This window comes from Homo sapiens, chromosome 7 (assembly GCF_000001405.40).
Source record: "Homo sapiens chromosome 7, GRCh38.p14 Primary Assembly".
NCBI lineage: Eukaryota > Metazoa > Chordata > Mammalia > Primates > Hominidae > Homo > Homo sapiens.
The window spans coordinates 17,001,983-17,027,491 of NC_000007.14; the positions used below are offsets into that span (position 1 = coordinate 17,001,983).

Here is a 25,509-nt window from a genome sequence, read left to right on the forward strand (position 1 = left end):
TTCATGTTTTTACTTGCTGTGTGTATGTCTTCTTGGTGAAGTGTCTGTTCAGGTCTTTTGGCTATATTTTAATTGGGTTGTTTCAAACTGTCAAGTTTTGAGAGTTCTTGTTCTTCATGTATTCTAGATAAAAGTTCTTTTTCAGATATGTGATTTGTAAATGTTTTCTGTCTGTTGTTTGTCTTTTTATTCTCCTGCCAGGATATTTCACAGAGCTAAAGTTTTAATGTTTATGAAGTCCAATTTATCAATTATTTATTTTTTGGATTGTGTTTTAATGGTGTTTAAAAACACTTGGGCTAACCCAAAATTAAAAAGATTTTTCTCTGCTGGGCACAGTGGCTCAAGCCTATAATCCCAGCACTTTGGGAGGCCAAGGCAGGAGGATTGCTTGAGACCAGGAGTTTGAGACCAGACTAGGCAGCACAGTGAAACCCCATCTCTACTAAAAATACAAAAATTAGCCAGGCATAGTGGCCCATGCCTGTGGTCCCAGCTATTCAGAAGGCTGAGATGGGAGGATTGCTTGAGCTTGGGAGGCGGAGATTGCAGTGAGCCTGGGCGGCAGAGCAAGACCCTGTCTCAAAAAAAAAAAGTTTTGCTTTTTTCATTCTTATTTAACCTCTTGATAGTTTTAAATGGCATCATTTGACTTTCTCTTTTAACTATACAACAATTTATTATATTCTTCATTAGCCTATATTTTATTTTTATTTTTAATTTTTTAATTTTAAATTAAATTAAATTAATTAATTAATTAATTAATTTTTTTTGAGATGGAGTCTTGCTCTGTTGCCTAGGCTGGAGTACAGTGGCACGATCTTGGCTCACTGCAAGCTCCACCTCCCAGGTTCACGCCATTCTCCTGTCTCAGCCTCCCTAGTAGCTGGGATTACAGGCATGCACCACCACACCCAGCTAATTTTTTGTATTTTTAGTAGAGATGGGGTTTCACCGTGTTAGCCAGGATGGTCTCGATCTCCTGAGCTCGTGATCTGCCCGCCTCGGCCTCCCAAAGTGCTAGGATTACAGGCGTGAGCCACTGCACCCGGCCTATTTATATTTTTTCTACATATTTTATAGATGCATTCTTTCTACTTTGTCAGAACTTATGATTTTATATGCTATTTTTTTAACCTATACTCTCAATTTTGTTTTATTCATAGATTTCTAGTTAAACATATTAAATGTTCACTACCAGTATGTTTTCTTGTTACTACTATTAATATTATTTCTTGGTTGCATGAAGATCATCCTCTAGAAGACTTCTTGTCAAAGGTTTATAGGTTCATTATTTCCTAAGTTTCTGTACTTTTAAGACTATTTTGTTATAGTCTTGATATTTCAATTTCAGCTTAGATATAAAATCTCTGGGTTTTGCTTTCTTTAAGTATCGGGGGAAATTCAGTGCCTGATATTTCACATAGTTTCTTTTCTATTTTCCGTAAGTGTCAGCGGGTCTGAGAAATAATGGTAAAGAGTACAGAAGAGAGAAATTTTAAAGCTGAGTATCCGGGGAAGACATCGCATGTTGGCAGGTTCCATGATGCCCCTTGAGCCTTAAAACCAGCAAGTTTTTATTAGTGATTTTCAAAAGGGGAAGGAGTGTATGAATAGGGTGTGGGTCACAGAGATCACATGCTTCACAAGGTAGTAAAATATCACAAGGCAAATGGAGGCAGGGCGAGATCACAGGACTACAGGACCGGGGCAAAATTAAAATTGCTAATGAAGTTTTGGGCACGCACTGTCACTGATAACACCTTATCAGGAGACAGGGTTTGAGAGCAGACAACCGGTCTGACCAAAATTTATTAGGAAGGAATTTCCTTGTCCTAATAAGCCTGGGAACACTACAGGAGACCGGGGCTTATTTCATCCCTTATCTACGACTGTAAAAGACAGCCGTCCCCAAAGTGGCCATTTCAGAGGCCTCACCTTAGGGACGCATTCTCTTTCTCAGGGATGTTTCTTGCTGAGAAAAAGAATTCAGCGATATTTCTCCCATTTGCTTTTGAAAGAAGGCAAATATGGCTCTGTTCCACCCAGCCCACAGGCAGGCATACTTTAAGGTTATCTCCCTTGTTCCCTGAACATTTTTGTTATCCTATTCTTAAGGTGCCCAGATTTGATATTGTTCAAACACTCATGCTCTACAAACAATTTGTGCAGTTAACACAATCATCACAGATACCTGAGGTGACATACATCCTCCTCAGCTCACGAAGATGACAGGATTAAGAGATTAAAGTAAAGACAGGCATAGGAAATCACAAGAGTATTGATTGGGGAAGTGATAAATGTCCATGAAATCTTCACAATTTATGTTCAGAGATTGCAGTAAAGACAGGCATAAGAAATTATAAAAGTACTAATTTGGGGAACTAATAAATATCCATGAAATCTTCACAATTTATGTTCTTCCGCCGTGGCTTCAGCTGGTCCCTCTGTTCAGGGTCCCTGACTTCCCACAACATTTAAGTTTCTTGAAAATGTCACTCTATTGTTGGCTTTCTTTGTAAGTTGCTCTTGAGAATTATGGTTGGCTTGTCTTACTCTTATACCTAATTTGCTCTTTTTTGTCTGGAGGGCCTGCATGTGGATTTTTGTTCTTTCTGTTTTAAAAAGTCTGATATTTTGCAAGGCTATTTCTCAAGTTCAATTATCCTCAGTAAAATTTTCCAGGTACGCAGGAAGCCCTTTCAATGTATAGATTTAGATTTTCTTGGATTATTGGTTTAAATATTAGCTCTGTTTCATTGTCTTGTTTTTCTTCTTCAGGGATTCTAAGTGTACATATATTGAATATTTGTCTACCTTAGATTCCAACCTCCTTCTCTCTGACTTTTAAAAGTTCTTTATGTTATTTTCATTTTCTTGGCTTCTTTCTCGCATTTATTCCTTAGTAATGTGTCACTTAAATCTATTTTCCTTTGGATACCTTATAATTTATTCTTCATTTTAGGGATATTTTATCTGTGTAATTTCTTTCCTGAGATCTATCAACTCATTGCATTTCTTTCTTTATTTGTATACTTCTGTGCTTACTTTTTGCATTTTTTATTAGAAATTATATATGTATATCTAAATGCTTATTTGAAGATATTTAATTAAGACTTGAGGTTATATTATAGTTTCTTCTGCTTTGTGGTTGTTTGTGGTGGAAATTTTTTATGATATGTAATATCTTTTTTTTTACAATAGCATTGTATAGGGTTAATTTGTTTTGCTTCTATTCTTATGCATTTTCTTGATGGGCTTTTTAGGTTGAGCATATTCTCTTCAGTGAGTGTAATAAAGTTAAATATCACTAATAGATGATTTTGTTGGTGATGAGTGGTGGTAGATAGGAAATAAGAAGGGTCTACATGTACTGTGATAGTTTTTATTTCTGCATGCTCCTTAATTTTTCCTGCTTGCTTCCTGCTTTCACTTCACTGACAGTCTATGACGGGCATTTCCTCTTCTCTATTTTTTTCCCTTTCCCCCAGAAGCAATGCTTCAATGTTGCCAATTTCCAACTCGCTCAGTTGTAAACCCCTTCCCTGTAGCTGTCGCTGTGAACTTTCCAGTTCCAGACCTGTGTTCAGTATTTTGGTATTTAGCTTTGGACTTTTCTCTTTCTAAGGGTAATTTTGTCTTTGCTTTATTTAAAAGTCCCCTGATATTTTTTTTCTTTTACACGAAGTGTTTAAAGGCTTTCTACCCTACCTTTCCCAATCAGTGAAAATCTGCTGGAATTGTTTGTGTCTTTATATGAAGGGAAATTGAAGTTCATAGTATTCTTGGTCTCTTAGTAATGCTGAAAATGTGGGTCAAGTTTCATTTGATTTGAGCTCCTTTTTCTTTTCTTCCCTGTTCCTCCCCTTCTCCTCCTCCTTCTTGGAAATTATGTGGAGAGATTTAGATTCAGGTATCCACTTCTATGGCCAATTGGATTGCCTACTTTCACATTTAATTTACACTTTGTCTGGATTATTAGTAGTTGGAAATCATTTTTCTTTTATTGTCTTTAACATCTAGAGCTGATATTGAAAAGTTAAAAGCCATTCTCATTGTTGGTCTTTTGTATGTGACACACTTCTGTTCTCTGAAACTTTTAGTATTTCCCCTTTTCCCAAAGTGGTTGCATTTTCCAGGTAGATGTTCTGCTGTGAGTTCCTTTTTCTCCATTGTTCAGGTTACTAGCTGGAGCATCTTGATCTGAAAACATGGGTCCTTCAATTCTGGAATAATTTTTAGAATTATTTCATTGATAATTTTGTCTGCTTATTTGTATACCCTCCTCACTGAATCCTTATTATTCACCTGTTAGACATCATAAATAAGTTCTTTAGGTTTATTTTTCTCTTCTTTGGCCTCCTTTTCTTCTCTCTCTCTCTCTCTGTACCTCTCTGTCTTTCTCTCTCTCTATTCTCTCACTTCCTTCCTCTCTCCTTCCACTTTCTAATGTTTTCTTTAAAGTTTTCTATTTTTACCATCATATTTTAAATTTTAAGAGATAATTTGGATTTTTGCTTCTATTGTTATTTTAAAATAAAATTTTATTCTTGTTTGTAGATATATCTTCCTTCATTTTTCTGAATAATAACGAATTTTGTAAAATTTTTACCCTCTGCGTTGTCATAATGACCTCCATTTTGGGTTGCTTTCATGTTAGAGTTTTGCCTAAAGTTTAGTAATCTTTGGTTTGGCTGTTTATGTTAACAAGTGTATCATTAAGGAGCTGATTGCAAGCTGTAGGCAATTTCATGAGTCTTGTTGAATGTAGGCTTCTCAGTAGGAGGGTATAATTTGGTTATTTTTGTTGAGGAAACACCTGATATTATAATCATTAAGGTTTTTTGGGGGGATAGTTGGATTCCTGAGAGAAAAATTTTCCAATGCCCCCACTGTACAGACAAAAAATGAATAATCGAAACCGACCTTGTCCAACCTATGGCCTGTGGGCCACATGTGGCTCAGGATGGCTTTGAATGCAGCCCAACACAAATTCGTAAATTTTCTTAAAACATGAGATTTTGTTATGATGTTTTTAGCTTATCAGCTATCATTAGTGTTAGGTAGTTTTCTTTGTTTGTTTGTTTGTTTGTTTGTTTTTATATATGGAGTGTCACTCTGTCACCAGGCTGGAGTACAGTGGCACAATCTCAGATCATTGCAAACTCCGCCTCCCGAGTTCAAGTGATTCTCTTGCCTCAGCCTCCCGAGTAGCTGGGACTACAGGCACACGCCACCACACCCAGCTAATTTTTGTATTTTTTGTAGAGACGGGGTTTCACCATGTTGGCCAGGATGGTGAAATCTCTTGACCTCGTGATCTGCCCGCCTCAGCCTCCCAAAGTGCTGGGATTACAGGGGTGAGCCATCGCACCCGGCCAGTGTTAGTGTATTTTACATGTGGCCCAAGAAAATTCATCTTCTTCCAACGTGGCCCAAGGAAGCCAAAAGATTGGACACACCTGATCTACACAAATACACTCACAACATTGACAAATTTCACAAATATAATATTGATTTAAAGACACAAGATAGAATGGAACTCATATGATGTGGTTCCATTTTTATGAAGTTCAAAATGGTGTAAATGTGTCAGTTGTGACTGCATTCATAAGTGGTAAAATTATTTAAAAGTTTTCATTTAGGGTTTCCTGAAAGCAGAACAAGAGTCAAAGGCTTATGGCAAATTGTTTATGTAAGAAGAGATCTTAGGAAGCAGGGAGACTGAGAAAAAAAAAGGCAGACCAATATAAGTGTGTATTTTCCAGGCCACTGATAAAGACAACAGGTTGTATTACACCAGGATCTCTGAGGGCTGGACAGATGCCTTCCAGAATTAGGTCTGATGAATAGGAGGTTGGGGAATTTATCCATCAGCTCCTATTTACCATTGTGAGGGGGTTGTACTCTGGGGTGATAACTCCCCTTCCTATATGTGGTGGTCTTGGAAATTTCTTGGAACAGAAAAGCTGAGATTGCAAGCCAAGCACTTCAGGTGCAGCATTGTCAGCATTAACTGAGCTTACAGGTAACTGTCCAACAGAGCTGTGATTGCAATTAGAGGCGGACTGAGGAATTGTGACGCACAGCCCAAAAGTGTCTGCCACAAAAGGCAAGATTATGACTAATAGCAGACTCAGCATTGCTGGTTATCCCTAGCAAGGAGGGAAAAATTGTAATGGAAAAGGTGTAAACTATGGGCATGGAGGTGTTTTGGAGTGCTGTAATACCTCTTGATTTTGAATTAAGCAAATATTGCATTGTAACTTTTTAATTGGATTTATAACAATTGGGTTATTATGATGGAACCCTTAATAATAAAAGAGGGAACTAGATTAATGGTAACAGCTCTGAAGTCCAAGTATTTAGCCTCATTTCTATATTCAAATTATGTATGATGTGGATGGGGCATTCGTGATTTTATTCAACGAGACATTAAAAAATAATACAAGAAGATAAACTCACAGTTCTGCTGAGTACTGAGAAAAAGAAAGATAACATGGAATACACTTAAGAGACTATATAGTTTTGGTGTTTGGTAATAATGGTCTGAATTAGTGTGGTGGCAGTGTGAATGCAAAGGAAATATTGATATAAAAGCTCTTCAGATCAGTTTGACTTGATGAAGAAATCAGCAGATATATTACTGAAACTTAAAACTATCATTTTTCTCAACCACAGAGAATTGACTATGCAATTTTCTATGTGTGCCACAGTATTCCATATCTTAGACACACTTTGATTATAGCTCTTATCTCACTGAGTTTGGAACACGTGTATACCAGTCTACCTCTCTATTTCAAAGCCAACATTGAGAGGAGAAATTATGAGTTTCTTAAATATATTAGTTGCATAATAATGTTCATTGAATGAATGAATGATTTAGTGCAATGGCTTAAATGAGACTGAAACCCAAGCTGGGTATTAACTTCATCAATGAGACCCTTTGCTAGTGCTAATATTGAGCTGTAGAGGGAATAGGGGAATAGACAGAATGGTGATAACAGATGAGATTTTTTTTTTTAATTGCCTCTTCTGCAAAATAGCAAAGGTGTGCTTTTCTTTTACTCAGTGGATCAGGCAGCTGTAAAGATAAGACCAATCTTCTTAGTTGGCATTTTGGGTTTTACATGGTTGGACAAGAAGAACAGACTCCTTAACTTTTATTTTCTGCCATGAAATTGGGCTTGCATGTGAATTTGTCGTCTCTTACTTGCTACTTTAATCCAACCCTTCCTATAGGGGGAGCTAAGGGATTTCAGTACATTAGATGTAATAAGTTCACTGTTGGCTGAATACAGCATCACTACTTTTATATTAAAAATATCATAACACTATCAGTAATGTTTGTTGAACAGATGTAAATGACTGGGATTTTTTTGTCACCTACCATGAGTGATTTACTATGTCGAGAAGTACCCACAGGGTAGGATGAGTGAGAATGGATATTAGGACCCCGTGTCAGTCAGATAAGCTGCTACTCCTGGGAGCACAGTTTCTGAGAAGTTACCCAAGCTCAATGTCTCGAAACTAAAAAAAGGGAAAAAATACTTCTCAAAATCTATGCCAAGGAAAATTATTTCATAATCTGTATTTTGGTATTGTCATAGTGAATGGGGTAAGCAAATAACAATACAGACAGCATGTGCTTTGTTCTAACATTGCCAAAATTAGATCAGAGTCTGGGATAAGATCACTAGCAACAGACATTGATTTTTCACATGGTACCTCTTTGGTTGCTAAAAATGGTGCATAAAACTGTTTTACTCTAATCAACATGGTCTACATCCTCTTCCTTTTCCCTGCCTCACTCTCTTAATGACACCTTGGCCATTTGAAAACAGTAGGATAGTCAGCAGCAATTGTTAATAGTGAACAAGATCATAGGGACTACCTCTCTGTGATAACAATTCCATCTTAACTTTCAGGAGCTTCTGCTTTTTTTTAGTATCATGAATGTCTGATTCCAAAGAAGCTCCTGCTTATGGCCCATAAACCTCTGCCATAAAGTCAGAAATGCTGTGCTCACTTCACAATAGGCAAAAACTACAGTTTAACAAGCTAGTTGTTCACCTCTCCCCATCATACTTACATGATGCTTTTACCTTCTTTGTTTGTGTACTCCCTAAGAATGTCGTATCTGGGCTTTAAACACCTTAAATGACTCAAACTGTTGTGAAAACATTTAAAACTATTTGAAAACAGCAGGTTAGTTAGAAAAAGGAAATGGAATGTAAGAATAGAAAGGGAGGGGATACAACTTGGAAAAATATACTTGTCACACCAGTCTTGTTTACACTAAAGACTCAGCAGTGTTTTAATAGATGAAACATAAAGGAACTTAAATTGTATCTATTAAATACACTTTATTAAAGTGAACAAACTATCCTACAAAGAGCAATTGCTAAATTTTTGGATAACTTCATTCTTCATCATAGAAGTGATATTAAAACTTTAGTGATATAATTTTACGAATTTAATTGCTTGTGATTTATCTCATTTTATGTTGAACTTTTTTCATAGAATTTTCTTCTGCTTTCTTTAAAATTTCTTCTTGGCCAAAAGAATCATCAGTAAAATTGAGAATGGAGAAAAATGAATTGCACCTTTCATTGTGGTTTGCTTTTACAAGCAATAAAAGCCACTGTTTTTTCCTCCTTTAAATAAGGAAAATGAATTTGGCTTGATGGGAAAGATTTGTGGGTCGGGGAGAGTAAGGGAGAGGGAAGAAGGAACAATTTTTATTTTGTTTTTGGGGATGGAAACAAGGCAGATGCATTAGTATCATCAGTGATACGGTTTCCTGTGCTTTGCTTACTGACATAGTGACTTCCTGTGATTGCCTTAAGGGCTGTGGAATGGAGCTGCTGGTGTACTCCCTGACCCTCTGCTCTACCCACATGCCCAGGAAGGGCAAGGTGACTGACATTTCTCCTCTATAGAAACTTGCTGTCTGTACCCCCAATTTCTTCTCCTCTGCCCTTTAGTCCCCTGCTTCAAGGGAATGGCAAAAGATTGCTTTGAAGGTTAATTAGGATTTCACTTTGTGTACAAGAATGGAAAGGGGAAGGATATATAGAACAGGGGAGAACAAGATGTTTGCATACAAAAGCCACTGGTAAATCAGGTTTGGTAGAATGGAGTTTGCACAGAGAATAAAGAATGGATTGCAATTTTCAACTGAGATCATAGAAAATATTTTTTAAAGTGTAACTATTTTTAGGAGGTGTTAGTGTCAATCTCTCAGGAACCATTTTTATATATAACATATGTGTAATTACTTCATATAGTGTGAAAGCTTTATACAAATCTCATTAATATGAGATATTATGGTATTAGCAAGATTGTATGAGATCATGGAGATGGGGTAGAATATTTAAATGTTTCTCTTGATCTGCATACTTCACACTGTTTATAAACTAAGAAGTAAGATTAATTTAACATTTTAAATTCCCTGTTTAGATTTCTATGTTGTCATACATTTTAGTGTCTATAAAAATAATAGCAATCCTGGTTATTTTCCATTAGTCAACCATAGTGCATGTTAAAAATCTGGAGTTATTTTTTGTTGCCTACCCATCTTTTCCAGCTGATCTTCTTCTTAAATCTAAAATATTCTATAGCTATTTCTTCTTCTCTGTATATTTTTAGCAATCATCCTATTTCATGCATTGTCACATCACTTCAACTTTTTTTTTGTTTTTTGAGACAGAGTCTCACTCTGTCACCCAAGCTGGACTGCAGTGGCATGATCTCGACTCCCTGCAACCTCCACGTCCCGGGTTCAAGCAATTCTCCTGGCTCAGCCTCCTGAGTAGCTGGGACTACAGGTGCCCGCCACCACGCCTGGCTAATTTTTTTTAATTTTTAGTAGAGACGGGGTTTCACTGTGTTGGCCAGGCTGGTCTTGAACTCCTGACCTCATGATGTGCCTCCCTCTTCCTCCCAAAGTGCTAGAATTACAGGTGTGAGCCACTTCACCTGGCCCACACCTAAACTACTACAATAGTTCTTCAGTTTCTCTATCTTCAGCATTTTGTACTCAAATCCATATTTCTCAAAACAACTTAAAAATCTCAACACCCTTTTCATCATTCAAACTAAGTATATGCAGAGACTTGACTTACAGCTGAAGCAATAAGGCAGGAAATAGGAGGTACAACTTTTCAAAAGAATAAAGTAACATTATCTTTAAATGAAGATAATATGATTGTGCACTAAAAAATCAACTGAAGAGTTATTAGCATTAGTAGAAATTTGTTAAAGTGGCCAGATACTAACTAAATTTGTAAAAACCCATGATTTCCTTGCCCTTCAGGCTCAGGGACAGATCTACTTGTGCTTATGCACTCGATGAAAATGGTTTCATTGCCTTCTGAATCTCACCAACTCCGTCATGAGACCCAGGCCAAGAGGTTGGGCAGACACCTTGACGTATCTGATCACTGTTCTTCTTCTTTTTTTAGCTAAGCATATTTTCCTCAAATATAACCTGGTCTGCAGAGGTGCAGCTCTGACTTCAACATCACCATTAATAACTTCATCACCAAGCAATTTTACCTTCTTGGAGCTGAAATGTCAAGCATCACCACTTGTGTGGAGGGACTTTGTAGAGCTAAAAAGCCTACTGGAGTTGTTTCAGAACAACAAAAAAACCACCCCCCAACAATTGTTGAAGAGTATTTCATTTGTGTAATAAAAGAGCTGAAAAAAATATTCCAATTGAGCATTCTCTGGACACCCACAGTCCCTTGGCCCTGAAGAAACAGTTGACCTTACTCTGGGATGGGGCATTAACAAAAGACAAAAATTAAGTCCTGAGAATCAGAACTAAGAGTCAGAAATACGCAAGTGGTTGACATCTTTGTGTCTCAGCTTTCTGACCTATATCCTAAACATGATGTGTGTGAGACTCTTCATTTGCTGTCTATGAATGTATAAATGTTATAATGTAAGAATGAAAGAGAGTTGTGAACTCCCTTGATTCTGCCTCTCTTGTTTGTTCTTTGAAGCCCAAGTGCCCACAGATACTCAAACTTACTTTCTTAGGATGCTTTGAAGATATGTGAGGAATCTCAGCATCATACCATGCAGGATGGGGTTTTCTTCCTTCTTCCCTCTTGCTGGCTTTCTGGAGATAAGTGTTTTACCCACTCCTTTCCTGAGACCTTGTCTCCTAATAATTAAAAAAAAAAGGGTCTGGTAAAATGGAGAAGCTATGAAGTGACTGTGCGTCATAATTCACTGGAATTATGCTAGTGATAAGGTGGTCAGACTTATCAAGACATCAATTGTTGGCATTGTTGCTGTGTCTTTCCGAGGCCAGATCAGCAAAGGTTGTTCCCTTCGATGCTTTTCTCCTACTTGAGGAGTAAAGGACATCAAGTGTTAAGGGGAAAGTGGGTGGATGATTCACTATGAACTTGAGCCAGTGGCTGAAAGAGGTTAGATTATAGAGGAGGGTGGCAGAGGATGGGAGAGCAGGGAGGAAGGATTTTCTGCAGCTCATCTGAGGTGGGGACTGATAGGCATTGCTGAGAGCAGAACAATATGTTTATGCTGGTGTTCTTGTTATGTTAGAACAAGTTCTTCCTTTTGGTAACAGATTACACTTTTCTAGTTTTCCACTAATAAGGGCCTAATTAAGAGGATTTATTTGCAATTTGGGCTACTGGTCCTGATTTCTTCCCTTTGCCTCACTCCACTCATGTCCTTTACATCAGCAAAATGGGTGTCCTTTATTTCTGTATGCCTGGCAGGGAGGAGGAGATAGTTTCTCTATCTTGGGTCAGTTGATTCTTCTATACTCAGCTATCTCACAAGGAGGGGTGTGCATCCTGGGGAAGCATCGTCCATGTATGCAACACCTTTGGCGTGAAAATTCTTGAAGGAGCACAATCAATTCTGAGGCTGCCCACAAGACCTGACTAGAGTGGGGACAAAGTAGTCTAGTTGCCTTAAACCCATTCAGGTTCAATGACTGAAAGAGATGGAAAGAGTTTAAGGGACAGGCAATTATTCACAGTTATTTCAACTGGTTTCTTACAGCTATCTTTTTTTTTTTTTTTTTTTTTGAGACAGTGTCTCACTCTGTTGCCTAGGCTGGAGTGCAGTGGCATGATCTTAGCTCACTGCAACCTCTGCCCCACGGGCTCAAGTGATCCTTCTGCCTCAGCGTCCTGAGTATCTGGGATCACAGATGTGTGCCACCATGCCGGGCTAATTTTTGTATTTTTTGCAGACATGGGGTTTCTCCATGTTGCCCAGGCTGGTCTCAAACTCCTGGACTCAAGTGATCTGCCAGCCTTGGCCTCCCAAAGTGTTGGGATTCAGTTGTCTTTTAAGAAAGGAAAATTTGCTCTCAAAAACACATAGGAAAATGTCAAACTTTTTTGACACTTGAGCAGATACCCTATAGAAAGAATACTATCTTGTTTTCTCACCACAGTTTCTAAGAAAGTGAGTAGGAAAAATCCAGTGTTTTTTCAAACGGCCTCCAGAATGATTCTCAAGTGGTAGTTGAATAGTGAGAGAATCATAAGAGAATTCAAGTGTGAGGAATTACAGCATTAGAATTCACATATCACATGTTGAATTTGTAGCTATTATTCTTTGAAATGAATACAGGTTATTCGTTACCATGTTTTTCAACACCTTCTTTTAAAAAGTTATCAACCTTTCACACATAGATAGCTATATCAAGTAAACCCTATATAGTATGGTAAATAAAAGTTGCTAATTCTTCGGACAGCTAATTGGCAAACAATACTACATCATCGTTTAGAGCGATTGGATATAGATTTGGCTAAGATTATAGTTCAAGATGAATTTGGGAAACTGAGTAAATCGTCAGATCAATCAATCAATTTTCTTGGGGTAAAACGTCTACAAATATGATTTTTGCCAACTCTGCAAAATACGAGAACTGAATTAAGATATTGTGAATAGCTCTCACTTTATTGGGTTCCATTTATGTATGAAGGAAAGATTTTTCACGTGAATAAGATTTCTAATCTGGGCAAGATCTTAGTGTAAGTGTTTCTAACATAAAGTTTCATCTTTTATAAACTTTCCGCTTGTCAAAAAGTTTGATAGGGTTAAACAAAGGGCAAAGAACATACTGATAATAAAAGAAATGAATACAATTAAATAAATTTTAACAAGTTAAAATTAAACAGAAAAATTAATCGAATCCGATGACAATATGATGGCAGCTTTTCTCAAAATACCAATACATTTATGTCATTCATAGATACAAGGTTTTCTTTTCAGTGTTGTAGTTAGGATATTGCAGTAAATGTAAGGATCTAGTGGTGGATGAGGGAAATTGAGGCAGTAGTTATATATATAGATACACACACACACACACACACACACACACAGAGCTAGAAGTATTCTTTGTTGAAAAACCCATTGTACTTTATTGCACTATTAAGGGAAATGGTCCAAATTTAGTGTGGTCTTGGCCTAGATTTTTGAGATAGTTAATATTGAGATATGTTCATATTTTAGTTTTGATGAATCAATTTAAAACAACTTAGAGATTACATTATTGTCCCAGTTCTTCTGAGAATTGTATCCTCTCTGTTTGTGAATCTGTTACTTAAAAAAAAGAAAACAATGCGTTTAAGAATCAGTACTAATAAGTGGCAGTGGAGTCATGCTGTCTGGCAAAAATAAAAAAGAGCAGCGTTTTTGGAAACGGACTTTTTGTGGCTTGGGCTGTCTTTTAAGTCTCACCGGAAGTTAATTAAAATGAGCTGGGGTTTTTTTTGTTTTCTTTTTAAGTTTATTTTATCATTTTTGAGTTTACTCACTTAGTGGCAGATGCCAGAAAATTCCTCAGTCCATGTTACTAATTGAAAAACAACTCTCAATCTGGGAGGAGAGCTCAGACATTCCAGATATCTCTTTCTAGTTGGATTAAAGGGTTTTCATTCTAAATATCTTATTTGGAAGAAATGTGAGGAATTTCAATGTTCCCAATCTTGAAACCATGAACAAGAGGGTCAGCCATGCCAGGCTTATTTCTCCAAATTCTTTTGGAGCTCAAAAGGTGTGGTCTGGACTAGGATGCCTGTGGGTGATATCCAGGAGTTTCATATATATACATATATATATATGTATATATAAACATGAATATATATGATTTAAAAATATATATATGATTTAAAAATATATATAGATTTAAAAATATATATGATTAAAAAATATATATATAGATTTAAAAAATATATATGATTTAAAAATATATATAGATTTAAAAATATATATGATGTAAAAATATATAGATAGATTTAAAAATATATGTGATTTAAAAATATATGATTTAAAAAATATATATGATTTTAAAATATATGTATATATATACACACACACATTCATAATCTGAGTGTATCCTTATTTTAAAAACATGTATATTACTTCATATCCTGATTCCTTTAGGGAACTTCAGTTTGCTTTGATCAGTATTTCTAAGGGTCTATGCTATGTTTTCTGGCTTGCCAATCACTTAGACTTCTGCCCTTCAAAGATAACATTCCTGGCAGTGATTACTATCTCTGTGTGGGGGTATGTTGCCAGCAGTTATTTCACATTGTGCACCTTGAGTGTTTGTTCTGATGTAGCTGCAGATGATATTTCCAGTTGTCATTTTTGTCTCAAGGTTAGCTAGGCTTTTCTCAAAACAGAACAGCCTCTGTGTTGTAGCAGTGTACCCACAGACTACAAACAGAGAGAATTTCAGATATCTCTAATGCTTTTTTGAAGAGGTTTCTTTCTCCTTTCCTTTTCTTGTTTAGTAGTTCATGTCACATCATAGGGTGCATGTTTGGATAATAAGATTGGTAATACACTGGGAATGCCTCTGAATACTGCCTAATTTAGCAAAGCACTTGTTGTTCCCCCCGCCCCATAAGGCACAGCGAGGCTGTGCAGAGTGAGCCATTGATTTTCTACTCCAACTTCAGTGGCTTAGGCTGGCAGATAAAATAAAGTGAGTGTATGTAGGGGTGGGGTCCCTGGGGAATGTCTTAGGAGCGCCAATAGAAGTCAGATAAGAAGGTAGGGAGGTTTTCAAGGAAGATCATAGTGAAAACATGCTGTTCCAACTTTAAGAACTAAGAGATTTCTAGGGTTTTTATGGTTTTAGGTCTAACGTTTAAATCTTTAATCCATCTTGAATTGATTTTTGTATAAGGTGTAAGGAAGGGATCCAGTTTCAGCTTCCTACATATGGCTAGCCAGTTTTCCCAGCACCATTTATTAAATAGGGAATCCTTTCCCCATTGCTTGTTTTTCTCAGGTTTGTCAAAGATCAGATAGTTGTAGGTATGCGGCGTTATTTCTGAGGGCTCTGTTCTGTTCCATTGATCTATATCTCTGTTTTGGTACCAGTAGCATGCTGTTTTGGTTACTGTAGCCTTGTAGTATAGTTTGAAGTCAGGTAGTGTGATTTCTCCAGCTTTGTTCTTTTGGCCTAGGATTGACTTGGCAATGCGGGCTCTTTTTTGGTTCCATATGAACTTTAAAGTAGTTTTTTCCAATTGTGTGAAGAAAGTCATTGGTAGCTTGATGGGGATGGCATTGAATCTGTAAATTACCTTGGGCAGTATGGCCATTTTCACGATATTGATTCTTCCTACCCATGAGCATGGAATGTTCTTCCATTTGTTTGTATCCTCTTTTATTTCCTTGAGCAGTGGTTTGTAGTTCTCCTTGAAGAGGTCCTTCACATCCCTTGTAAGGTGGATTCCTAGGTATTTTATTCTCTTTGAAGCAATTGTGAATGGGAGTTCACTCATGATTTGGCTCTCTGTTTGTCTGTTGTTGGTGTATAAGAATGCTTGTGATTTTTGTACATTGATTTTGTATCCTGAGACTTTGCAGAAGTTGCTTATCAGCTTAAGGAGATTTTGGGCTGAGACAATGGGGTTTTCTAGATATACAATCATGTCGTCTGCAAACAGGGACAAGTTGACTTCCTCTTTTCCTAATTGAATACCCTTTATTTCCTTCTCCTGCCTAATTGCCCTGGCCGGAACTTCCAACACTATTCAGGACATAGGCATGGGCAAGGACTTCATGTCCAAAACACCAAAAGCAATGGCAACAAAAGACAAAATTGACAAATGGGATCTAATTAAACTAAAGAGCTTCTGCACAGCAAAAGAAACTACCATCAGAGTGAACAGGCAACCTACAAAATGGGAGAAAATTTTCGCAACCTACTCATCTGACAAAGGGCTAATATCCAGAATCTACAATGAACTCAAACAAATTTACAAGAAAAAAAACAAACAACCCCATCAAAAAGTGGGCAAAGGACATGAACAGACACTTCTCAAAAGAAGACATTTATGCAGCCAAAAAACACATGAAAAAATGCTCATCATCACTGGCCATCAGAGAAATGCAAATCAAAACCACTATGAGATACCATCTCACACCAGTTAGAATGGCAATCATTAAAAAGTCAGGAAACAACAGGTGCTGGAGAGGATGTGGAGAAATAGGAACACTTTTACACTGTTGGTGGAACTGTAAACTAGTTCAACCATTGTGGAAGTCAGTATGGTGATTCCTCAGGGATCTAGAACTAGAAATACCATTTGACCCAGCCATCCCATTACTGGGTATATACCCAAATGACTATAAATCATGCTGCTATAAAGACACATGCACACGTATGTTTATTGCGGCATTATTCACAATAGCAAAGACTTGGAACCAACCCAAATGTCCAACAGTGATAGACTGGATTAAGAAAATGTGGCACATATACACCATGGAATACTATGCAGCCATAAAAAATGATGAGTTCGTGTCCTTTGTAGGGACATGGATGAAATTGGAAATCATCATCCTCAGTAAACTATCGCAAGATCAAAAAACCAAACACCGCATATTCTCACTCATAGGTGGGAATTGAAGAATGAGATCACATGGACACAGGAAGAGGAATATCACACTCTGGGGACTGTGGTGGGGTGGGGGGAGGGGGGAGGGATAGCATTGGGAGATATACCTAATGCTAGATGACGAGTTAGTGGGTGCAGCGCACCAGCACGGCACATGTATACATATGTAACTAACCTGCACAATGTGCACATGTACCCTAAAACTTAAAGTATAATAAAAAAAAAAAAAAAAAAAAAAAAAGAATTAAGAGAAAGAATTTCAACCGGGGGTGGTCAAGTCAAATATACTACTTAAGAAAGTTATAAAAATGGTTGTAATGTGGAAACAGATTCCAGAATAAAAATCCTTTTGTGAACACTTGATTTGGATTTCTGAATTTAATCATTTTCAGCTGCAACAACAAATGCTTGAACCACGTAAGAAGCTTTGGCTTCCCATATTTTAACAGATTTTTTTTCTACACATTAGTTTGTTGTTTTTTTTTCTCTCATTTCATGATGTTTCCATTCAGCTGTTGGCATAATAATGGATTACAGTGTGGTGAAGGAAAGAGTTGGGGTTTCAGATTAATACTTGAGTTTTCAATCCCTGCTTTTATAATTACTAACTGTGGGACCTTGGACAAATCACATTAACTCGCCAAGTATCAGTTTGTCTATAAAATAGGATAAAAATACGTAAAACACCTACTACATGTTTTCTGCAACATATAAGATGGGAGAAATTGTTGCTGTTTTATTATCATGATTACTGTTTTGAAAATTAGGCTAAGATAATATAAAAGTAGTATTTAGTGAGATTTGCTAATAGATGAAAGAGAATGAAATAAAATCTAAGGGTCAATATGCAGCAAAGTGTGCTGCTCAAAATAAAATCAGTCTTCTTGTTGAATTTGACATACATATCTCATTATGTGCCATATATTTTCACTCTCAAGCTCATCTGTGTTCTGCATTAAATAATGAATTCCTTTGGAATGTGAGTGAAATTTTCCAGAAGTTATTAATTTAAAAGTTAATATGGAGATCAAGTGCATGCTGTATCCTTTATTATTAGCTTGGAGTTCATCTGAGTTCTGTACTGCCTTTTAGTTTGTGTGTGTGTGTGTGTGTGTGTGTGTGTGTGTGTGTGTGTGTGCCTGCCTACCTGGCGATAATAGGGAGGAAATTGGTCATTTTGCATAAACTTATACTAAGATGTTAATTAAGCGTAATATATAGCTTTAACACAGGTCTAAAAATGTCTTTTTATAAAAGTTCTTCACCAGCTGAAGAAGTAGAGTTTTATTTCTTATTCTGGGTATACATCCAAAATAATTGAAATTAGGATCTTGAAGAGCTCACTGCATTCCCTTATTTGTTACAGCATTATTCACAATAGCAAGATGTGGGAACAACTCAAGTGTTAATCAACAGATGAGTGGATAAAGAAAATGTGCTATACATGTACAGTGTGATATTATTCAGCTTTACAAAGGAAGGAAATCCTGCCATTTATGGACAATGTGGATGAACCTGGAGGACATTATGCTAAGCAAAATAAGCCAGTACCAAAGGTCAAGTACTGCATGATTCCACTTGTATGAGAGATCTTTATAGTCAACATCATAGAAGTAGTGAGTGCAATAGGGCTTGCCAGGGGCTGCAATGTTATTCATCAGGTATGCTAGATGAATATGTTCTAGAGATCTGCTGTACAACGTTGTACCTATAGTAAACAATACAGTATGGTGTATTTCAACATTTGTTAAGAGAGTAGGTCTCAATTTAAGTGTTCTTACGACAAAAATAAACAAAAAACACAAAAACGAGACACAAAGAAACTATGGGGGCTGGGTGCAGTGGCTCACACCTGTAAGCCCAGCACTTTGGGAGGATGAAGCGGATAGATTACCTTAGGTCAGGAGTTCGGGACCAACCTGGCCAAATCTGTCTCTATTAAAAATACAAAAAAATTAGCCGGGCACGGTGGCATGCACCTGTAGTCCCAGGTACTCAGGAGGCTGAGGCAGGAGAATAGCTTCAACTAGGAGTTGGAGGCTGCAGTGAGCTGAGATCACGCCACTGCACTCCAGCCTGGGTGACAGTGAGACTCTGTCTCAAAACAAACAAACAAACAAACAAAAACAAAAAAGAAACTATGGAAATTGCTGGATCTGTCTACTACGTTAATAGTGGTAATTGTAACAAGAATGTTTGCATATGTTTAAACTTATCAAATTGTATACTTTAAATATGTGTACTTCTTCATAATATCAGTTATGCTTCAATAAAGCTGTTAAGAAGTTTTAATTTATTTAAATTTGTGTTAACCTGTCACTTTGTGAGGGTCATCTACTTTTTATACAAAGTCACTGCAACCTACATACTTAATTCTTTTGTACTGTTTTGAAATAAGCATACACTTGCAGACACATGTTTCTACAACATTCTTTGCTTTCCCAATAGGCAAGTTCAAACTCAGAAGGCGAAAGTCCAGCGGAAAGTACCGGAACTGAGGGAAAACTATTTGCCTAACCACCCACACCACTGAATGCTTTCTTGGAATCTGCTGTGTGTTTAAGATGATATCCTACCCACACACATGTAACCTTTACCTTTTTGCAAACCAAATCTGATTCTACAAGGAAAGCACAAAAATAAAAATATTTTTCTCTCAAATTATATCAGATTTGTTTCTGCTCAAATTATCTCAGACTAGTTTTAAAAATTGTAAACTCTCCCATATCAAGCATCTAACTATCCACTGAATTTGGCTATGCAACTTCAGTTTTTAGAGAAGGTGGTAAAGTCTCTATTTTTAAGGGGGAAAAATTAAGGGTTACTAAGAAATATAGAAATAAAACTGGATTTTTTTTTTTTGCTTTGTTTTACAGTGTTTCTGGAACTTTCTTTCTTTTCATTCCTCAGTAGCTTTCCGGACTCTATCCTGAACTGAATCTTCTTTTGTGAAAGTTACCTTTGACCTGTGACTTGACTAAGCATGGGCTTTTTACAGTACGTGGTGCTTGATCAGTCTATGAATTCAACCCAATTAACATTTTCTCTGTAGAAATTGCTGCCATTGGCTCCCATGACATCATGCTTGTGTCCCTCTTTTAGTCTTTCTGACAACTTTTACCCAGTCTTATTACTCCCTCTTTTTACTTCACGTATTGTTTAATTATTGCTTCTTCCATGGGGTTCCATTCCAAACTCTCTTCTTTTTCGTTTCTACATACTTTCCCTGGAAAAATTCACTAAGCCATGAATAAAAGTATCAAATGGACATTCATGAATCCAGGCTTTCAGTCTCCAGCCCCATCTACCTGCCTGCCCTGACAATACAAACACTTGAATGATTATTACATAAATAAATATATTTCTAACTTCTGCCACTGTTTTCCAAAACCACAGAAGCCATCTTTATTTTGGTTGGCCATTTTATCCTTGGCAATAAGCACAGTCCCTGGCACATGGAAGGCTCTCAAAAAATCATCTTAGGTGTTGAAGGAGTGACCTCTTTTTGGCATCTCCTGATGCCCTCTAACTTTAATCTGTCACTATATCTTTTTGCTTCTATCAACTCACATATATTTCAAATCTGCTTTTTCACCATCATCCCCAATGACATTCTTTGGAGGAGACAGTATCTCCTGCCTACCATCAGCCTTGACTCCATCCACCAAACTATCAGTGTTCTTACTTTTTAGACACAAGTATGGTAGATGTACTCTCCTGTTCTTGAATATTTAATGGATTCCAAATTCTTCTAGTAACAAATCTAAATGCCTTAGCCCATTCTTCAGGGTTCTCAAACCCTAACCTGACTCTAACCTCTCTTTCCAATCCCATCTTTTCAATATATTCATCCTGTAATTCAGTAACTGCAGATGTCTCAAGTGCCCTGAACACTCCGTATTCTTTTTTTCCTATGTTGGTTTCCTCTGCTCTTTTGAACTTCTTTGTCATCTGTGTCTTGAACTCTAACACCTATGTGCATCTTATACTTTTAACTTATAAAATCCTATTTTTTGACAGATTGTTACCCAGTAGTCCTTGGGTGCAACTGATGAATGATGAATAGGGTCATAACATGAATGTAAACTCACTTTCTCTGACTTTAGACTCCGTCGTCTTTTGTGCTAAGGGGACCGTGGTTCCAGTTCCCAGCATATACTCACACTTTGCTCTTAGTCATTTTTCATTGCCATCCCTCTCTGCTGACTGCATTCAGGTCACCTTTTCTGTATCACTGTCTTGACTCTGCTCAAACCATGATCATAAAGAGATTTGTGGTAAATATCCTTTTATCACATGCATTGATCTTATTAGTGAGTCAGAAACCAGGGTGACCTCATTTTCTTGTTTTTCTACTGTACCTTTAGTTATAGAGTGCATTTCTTGATTCATTTTTAGTATATCTCTCCACTCTTGAAAAAATTGTCACAGGTCTTTGAGAGGCTGAGTTGGAAGACAGCTTACATAGGTAGCTATCTTTCACATAAAAAATCAAGTCTTTTCATTTCTCCTAGCCAAGCTCCTTGGTCTGGGTTTGTCACTCTGAGAGTCCTACTTGAGGATTAAGGCTGTGGGAGCCAGCTGTGAGTTCCATCTCCAAACATCGTTTTCCCATGGGTCTCACTGAATCCTCAGCCCAAAAAGCATTTCTAGTAGGCTTCTTAGATAACTACCTTATTAAAATGATTCACAAACTTAAGCCAAGAAGTATAAAGCCTATATAGAAAAGGTATCTCAAAATTAATATACTACTAGGAAGGCTGAAGTGGGAGGACCACTTGAGGCCAGGAGTTCAAGGCTGCAGTACGTTATGATCATGCATGTGAATAGCCACTGCACTCCAGGCTGGACAACGTAGCAAGATCTTGTTGCTAACATAATAATAATAATAACAACTTATAAGTGACCCAAGAATGATTAGCTGCTGTAGTTTTAAAAATGAATTATATGTATTCTCTGACATTGTTTGATAAAAAAGTATTAATGGTCCCACAGCATCCTACAATGATAGATGATTCGTGAGGAGTTTATGTCAGATTAATTAACTAGACAATTTATAAATGTGGCTACTAGCAAGGCAGATTCTGGATATCTTGAAGGACCAGGGGAAGAAAAAGAGATTTTCCCATATTCAGTGAGGTCATTTCTGCAATTAGTGGTTTGGAGTGGGTCCCCTTAGCAGAGTTTAGCTGGATGGAATTTGAACTCACTCTAATATAATATGATGGGGTAAAATGTTTTGATCATCTGCCATTTATTGACATACTAATCTATTATCTATTTAGGCTTTCTTCAATTCATTTCTAAGTAGCAAAAAGGAAAACATCTGTAGGTTCATGGTGATTATAATACTGAAAGAAAACCTTTTGCTCAGAAGTAGAGCTTTCCTTTAGGCTGAACCCCAAGAAAAATGTTTTATTTGCATCTTTATTATAAAGAAAAAAAGGCATAATATATTGGATAACTATAGTGTACATATAAGGTGCACAGTCTACAACTTTCCTCTAAGAAGTATAAATGTAGTAATAGTCATATGGCTGTGTTTATCGTGTTTTTAAGGTAATCATGCAATTCAATTGAGTAAAACTCTATAAACAGCAGAAATACAGTCTATGTGTGTGGTTCTGATGAATTAGCAAGAAGACTTAAGATTTCTCAAATTCATAAAAGAGGTAAGATTGTCAAAGATGTTTAGGGAATGTGTTTACATAAATGTTACATTGAAAACATAGGCTCTTTGAGGATTAAATGCTTCTATAAGCGAATTTAGCAAAAGAATACCCTTAATTGCATAAAGATTACTGGGGACAATAAAAATACATACACATGTCATGCTATTATGAAATCACAGGTGATCTGTGGATAATTTACACTTGGTTAAACCCCAATAGATTTTTTTCTCTGTATCATGTTGATTCATTATTTATATTAGATTGGTTATCTATATTAATGAAGTTAAACAAAGGGGCCAAATTTGTCTTTGCAAGACATTTTTACATTCTAACTAACCTTCAAGATCCAACTCAGGTACCATCACTTCCTAAATTTTCTTTCCCCTCTTTGTTTATATGTATAGTCTATTTTGCACAGCATACCTAACTATAATTTTATGCTCCAATTGTTTGAATCACGTGCACAGTTCTAGTGTAGTTGAAAATTATCCTAATATAATACAGTTCAATAATATGAGACTTTTAACATATGCCTTACATAAAGATGGAGTTTAAAGCCAAGACTCATGTACTCTATCTGGAAATCTAGGCAGCACAAATTCACTCAAGACTGAATGAGCGTTACAGAATCAGGTCAAGGTGGTAGAGTTTTGGAGACATTGAATGTTGTTGTTTCAGCACTGCTCAAAAAAGCACTGCATGAAAATATATCTGTAACTCCGTACAAAATCATGTCCATTGAAACTTTTCACTGTTGCAGGGATATAGGTTTTATCTAACATTATTCTATTATTGCTTTTTACTACAGTGCATAAACAGAGTATAACTCTGCTTGAATTTTGAATTTTCTACTAGTATATATTTCATATGATTTATTAGTTATTCAAAATATTCTGCTATATTTTAATTGTGAATCTTGATACTTCTCAATTTCCATAGTCCAGATTCAATACACACAATATTCCAATGGGTCATCACTGCTTCCATTAAGATTCTCCATCTCTGTCCTGGAATTTACCCTATCATTGAAATCATGGTTATGTGTAATGAACAAGCTAACTGCTCTAGCGTGGAAACACAAAACCTTATTTGTGATAATGAGATTTGACTTGTCTTCTTCCTCTCACTTTTAATAATATCATAATGTTGATGCATCTGAATGTAATTGGCATAAACAGTCTTAAGAAATGCTTTACTGCACCAGAAAACATAGATTAGAATTTAAATTATTATTGTTTTTCCAGACATTGACTTTTGGGGCCAGGCCAAATGGATTTCTGGTTCTTGGATTGTGCTAATCAATATAACTGTAGCTGTATGTTTTCAAGATTAATTTTATGACCATATTTTCTTATCTCAATAGCAAGAACATTTTTCATTCTCTTGTCTATTGGAATGAGCAAATTATTTTTGTAGAACATTAGAGGGTAAAAACTATAAGAAGGCAAGTGAAAAAATTCCCTTTCCCCTACTTTATCTTTTGCCCTTCCTTTATTCCTTTTCTTGTAGAAGAAGCAGGGGAAAGAGGAAAATCCCATTTTCCCTGCTTCTCCTATGTGTAGATAGTAGGAAATTAAGTAAAAAATAAATGTTTTACTTGAGCTCTTATTGATTATTTATATTAGATGAAAAGATAAGAAATGGATAATGGGGGAGATTAATCTCTAAAAAATATTAATTCACAATAAGTTTGGCTAAAACATCTTAACACATAACCAACAACTGACCTGTATTTGACCAAAGCTATATCCTTGTCATAAATACTCAGACACCCATGGACAGTATTTTTATGTGGAAGTATGCTAATAATTACTTAAGGTAGAGCCTCATTTGGGAGGACAGGTACCTAAAGCCTTCAGTGTCTTGGGAAACCTCTGAGATCAGTGGGCGGCAGCCCGCGGCTTGTCTCTGTTTGGTCTAGTGCTTAAGTGAACTTGCTAACTAAAGCCTTCCTTCCTCCTGTGTAAGTGAATGAAAAACCTCTCTCAGTTGCTATCCTGGCTAAGTGGGTGAATCTGATGTTTTTGGGTTGCATCCACTGGGTCTGAAGTTAAATGTTGTGGTTTACTACTTATTATCTGAAGATCAGAGATCTTCAACTTCAAACTACTATGCATTTTGAGTTATTTGTAAATTTCTAGAGATTTTTGAGGGTGCCCAGCTGGAGTGACATTTATTCCTGGATTTTATCATCTCAAATACAGCACAGAGCCTTATCTATAAATTATTCCCATATTCTCCCTTTGTGGATATGTGTAATGTCATTTATAGAAATAAATACTTCATTATACCTTTGGTCTTAGTGTAGGTTCTGTTTTATACCTTAAGAACTTTGAAGAACTATGTATATGTATGAATCCGTGTGTGTGTTTGATATCAATATGAGTATGCTTATGGTAATGAAGGAAAGAAAGAAAAGAATAAAAGTTAGGTGGGCATACAGAGTAGTAAGCATCTTGAAAATAAATCAAAGTAATAAACACATGGCTTAGAATGCATAATAATTATACTGATTTTCAGTTTGTCAAATAATCTGTGCTATCATATTCCTAAAGCAGGCATGTTAATAATAGCATCATGCTGATTTAAAAGTGTATACAATAATCCTCCACCAGACACATTCCTTAAATTAAACATCTATTATACTAAATTTTTGGTATAGCACAGTGTGTAATTATTTGTAACTTACTCACATGTATAGTATAGTATTGGAATTAGTGTGCTGTAGATAGACTAGATCTTAGAAACCATCTAAACCTGGGATTTTAAATAGGTATCTTTTCTTGTGTTAATGCCGTCGAAGTGGTAGTGGTTGTGTGGAATATTGTTTGAGAATTCTGGGACTGCATGTAGATTAGGAAAAAGGAATTCTATAATTGATTACTTGTGTAGGCATCGACCCAGCATAGAGAATGTTG

At 36.5% G+C, this 25,509-nt stretch overlaps 2 long non-coding RNA genes across 4 annotated transcripts in view, besides 3 other annotated features; one reads left to right on the forward strand and one right to left on the reverse strand.

Annotated features, from left to right (window-relative positions):
* LOC105375170 (uncharacterized) overlaps positions 1-19,580 on the forward strand; it is a 31,345-nt gene extending 11,765 nt beyond the window's left edge. Inside the window, exons 2-3 of one of the 3 annotated variants that reach the window (XR_927067.3) lie at positions 18,286-18,475; positions 19,368-19,580. This is a non-coding gene — a long non-coding RNA (uncharacterized LOC105375170). Of the gene's footprint in view, positions 1-18,285 lie in introns of all 3 variants that reach the window. The other 2 variants (XR_007060237.1, XR_007060238.1) reach the window with 2 other exon arrangements.
* LOC124901595 (uncharacterized) overlaps positions 1-25,509 on the reverse strand; it is a 60,261-nt gene that overhangs the window by 11,716 nt on the left and 23,036 nt on the right. Inside the window, exon 3 of the long non-coding RNA XR_007060239.1 lies at positions 11,042-11,176. This is a non-coding gene — a long non-coding RNA (uncharacterized LOC124901595). The remainder of the gene's footprint in view (positions 1-11,041; positions 11,177-25,509) is intronic.
* Positions 14,443-14,737: a silencer, noted in NCBI's record as "tiled region #10536; HepG2 Repressive DNase matched - State 5:Enh, and K562 Repressive non-DNase unmatched - State 24:Quies". NCBI's record gives its function as "represses a minimal TATA promoter and a strong SV40 promoter by Sharpr-MPRA in HepG2 and K562 cells {active_cell/tissue: HepG2 | K562}" and the evidence as "EXISTENCE:reporter gene assay evidence [ECO:0000049][PMID:27701403]".
* Positions 14,443-14,757: a biological region, named in NCBI's record as "Sharpr-MPRA regulatory regions 10536 and 6796".
* Positions 14,463-14,757: a silencer, noted in NCBI's record as "tiled region #6796; HepG2 Repressive DNase unmatched - State 5:Enh". NCBI's record gives its function as "represses a minimal TATA promoter and a strong SV40 promoter by Sharpr-MPRA in HepG2 cells {active_cell/tissue: HepG2}" and the evidence as "EXISTENCE:reporter gene assay evidence [ECO:0000049][PMID:27701403]".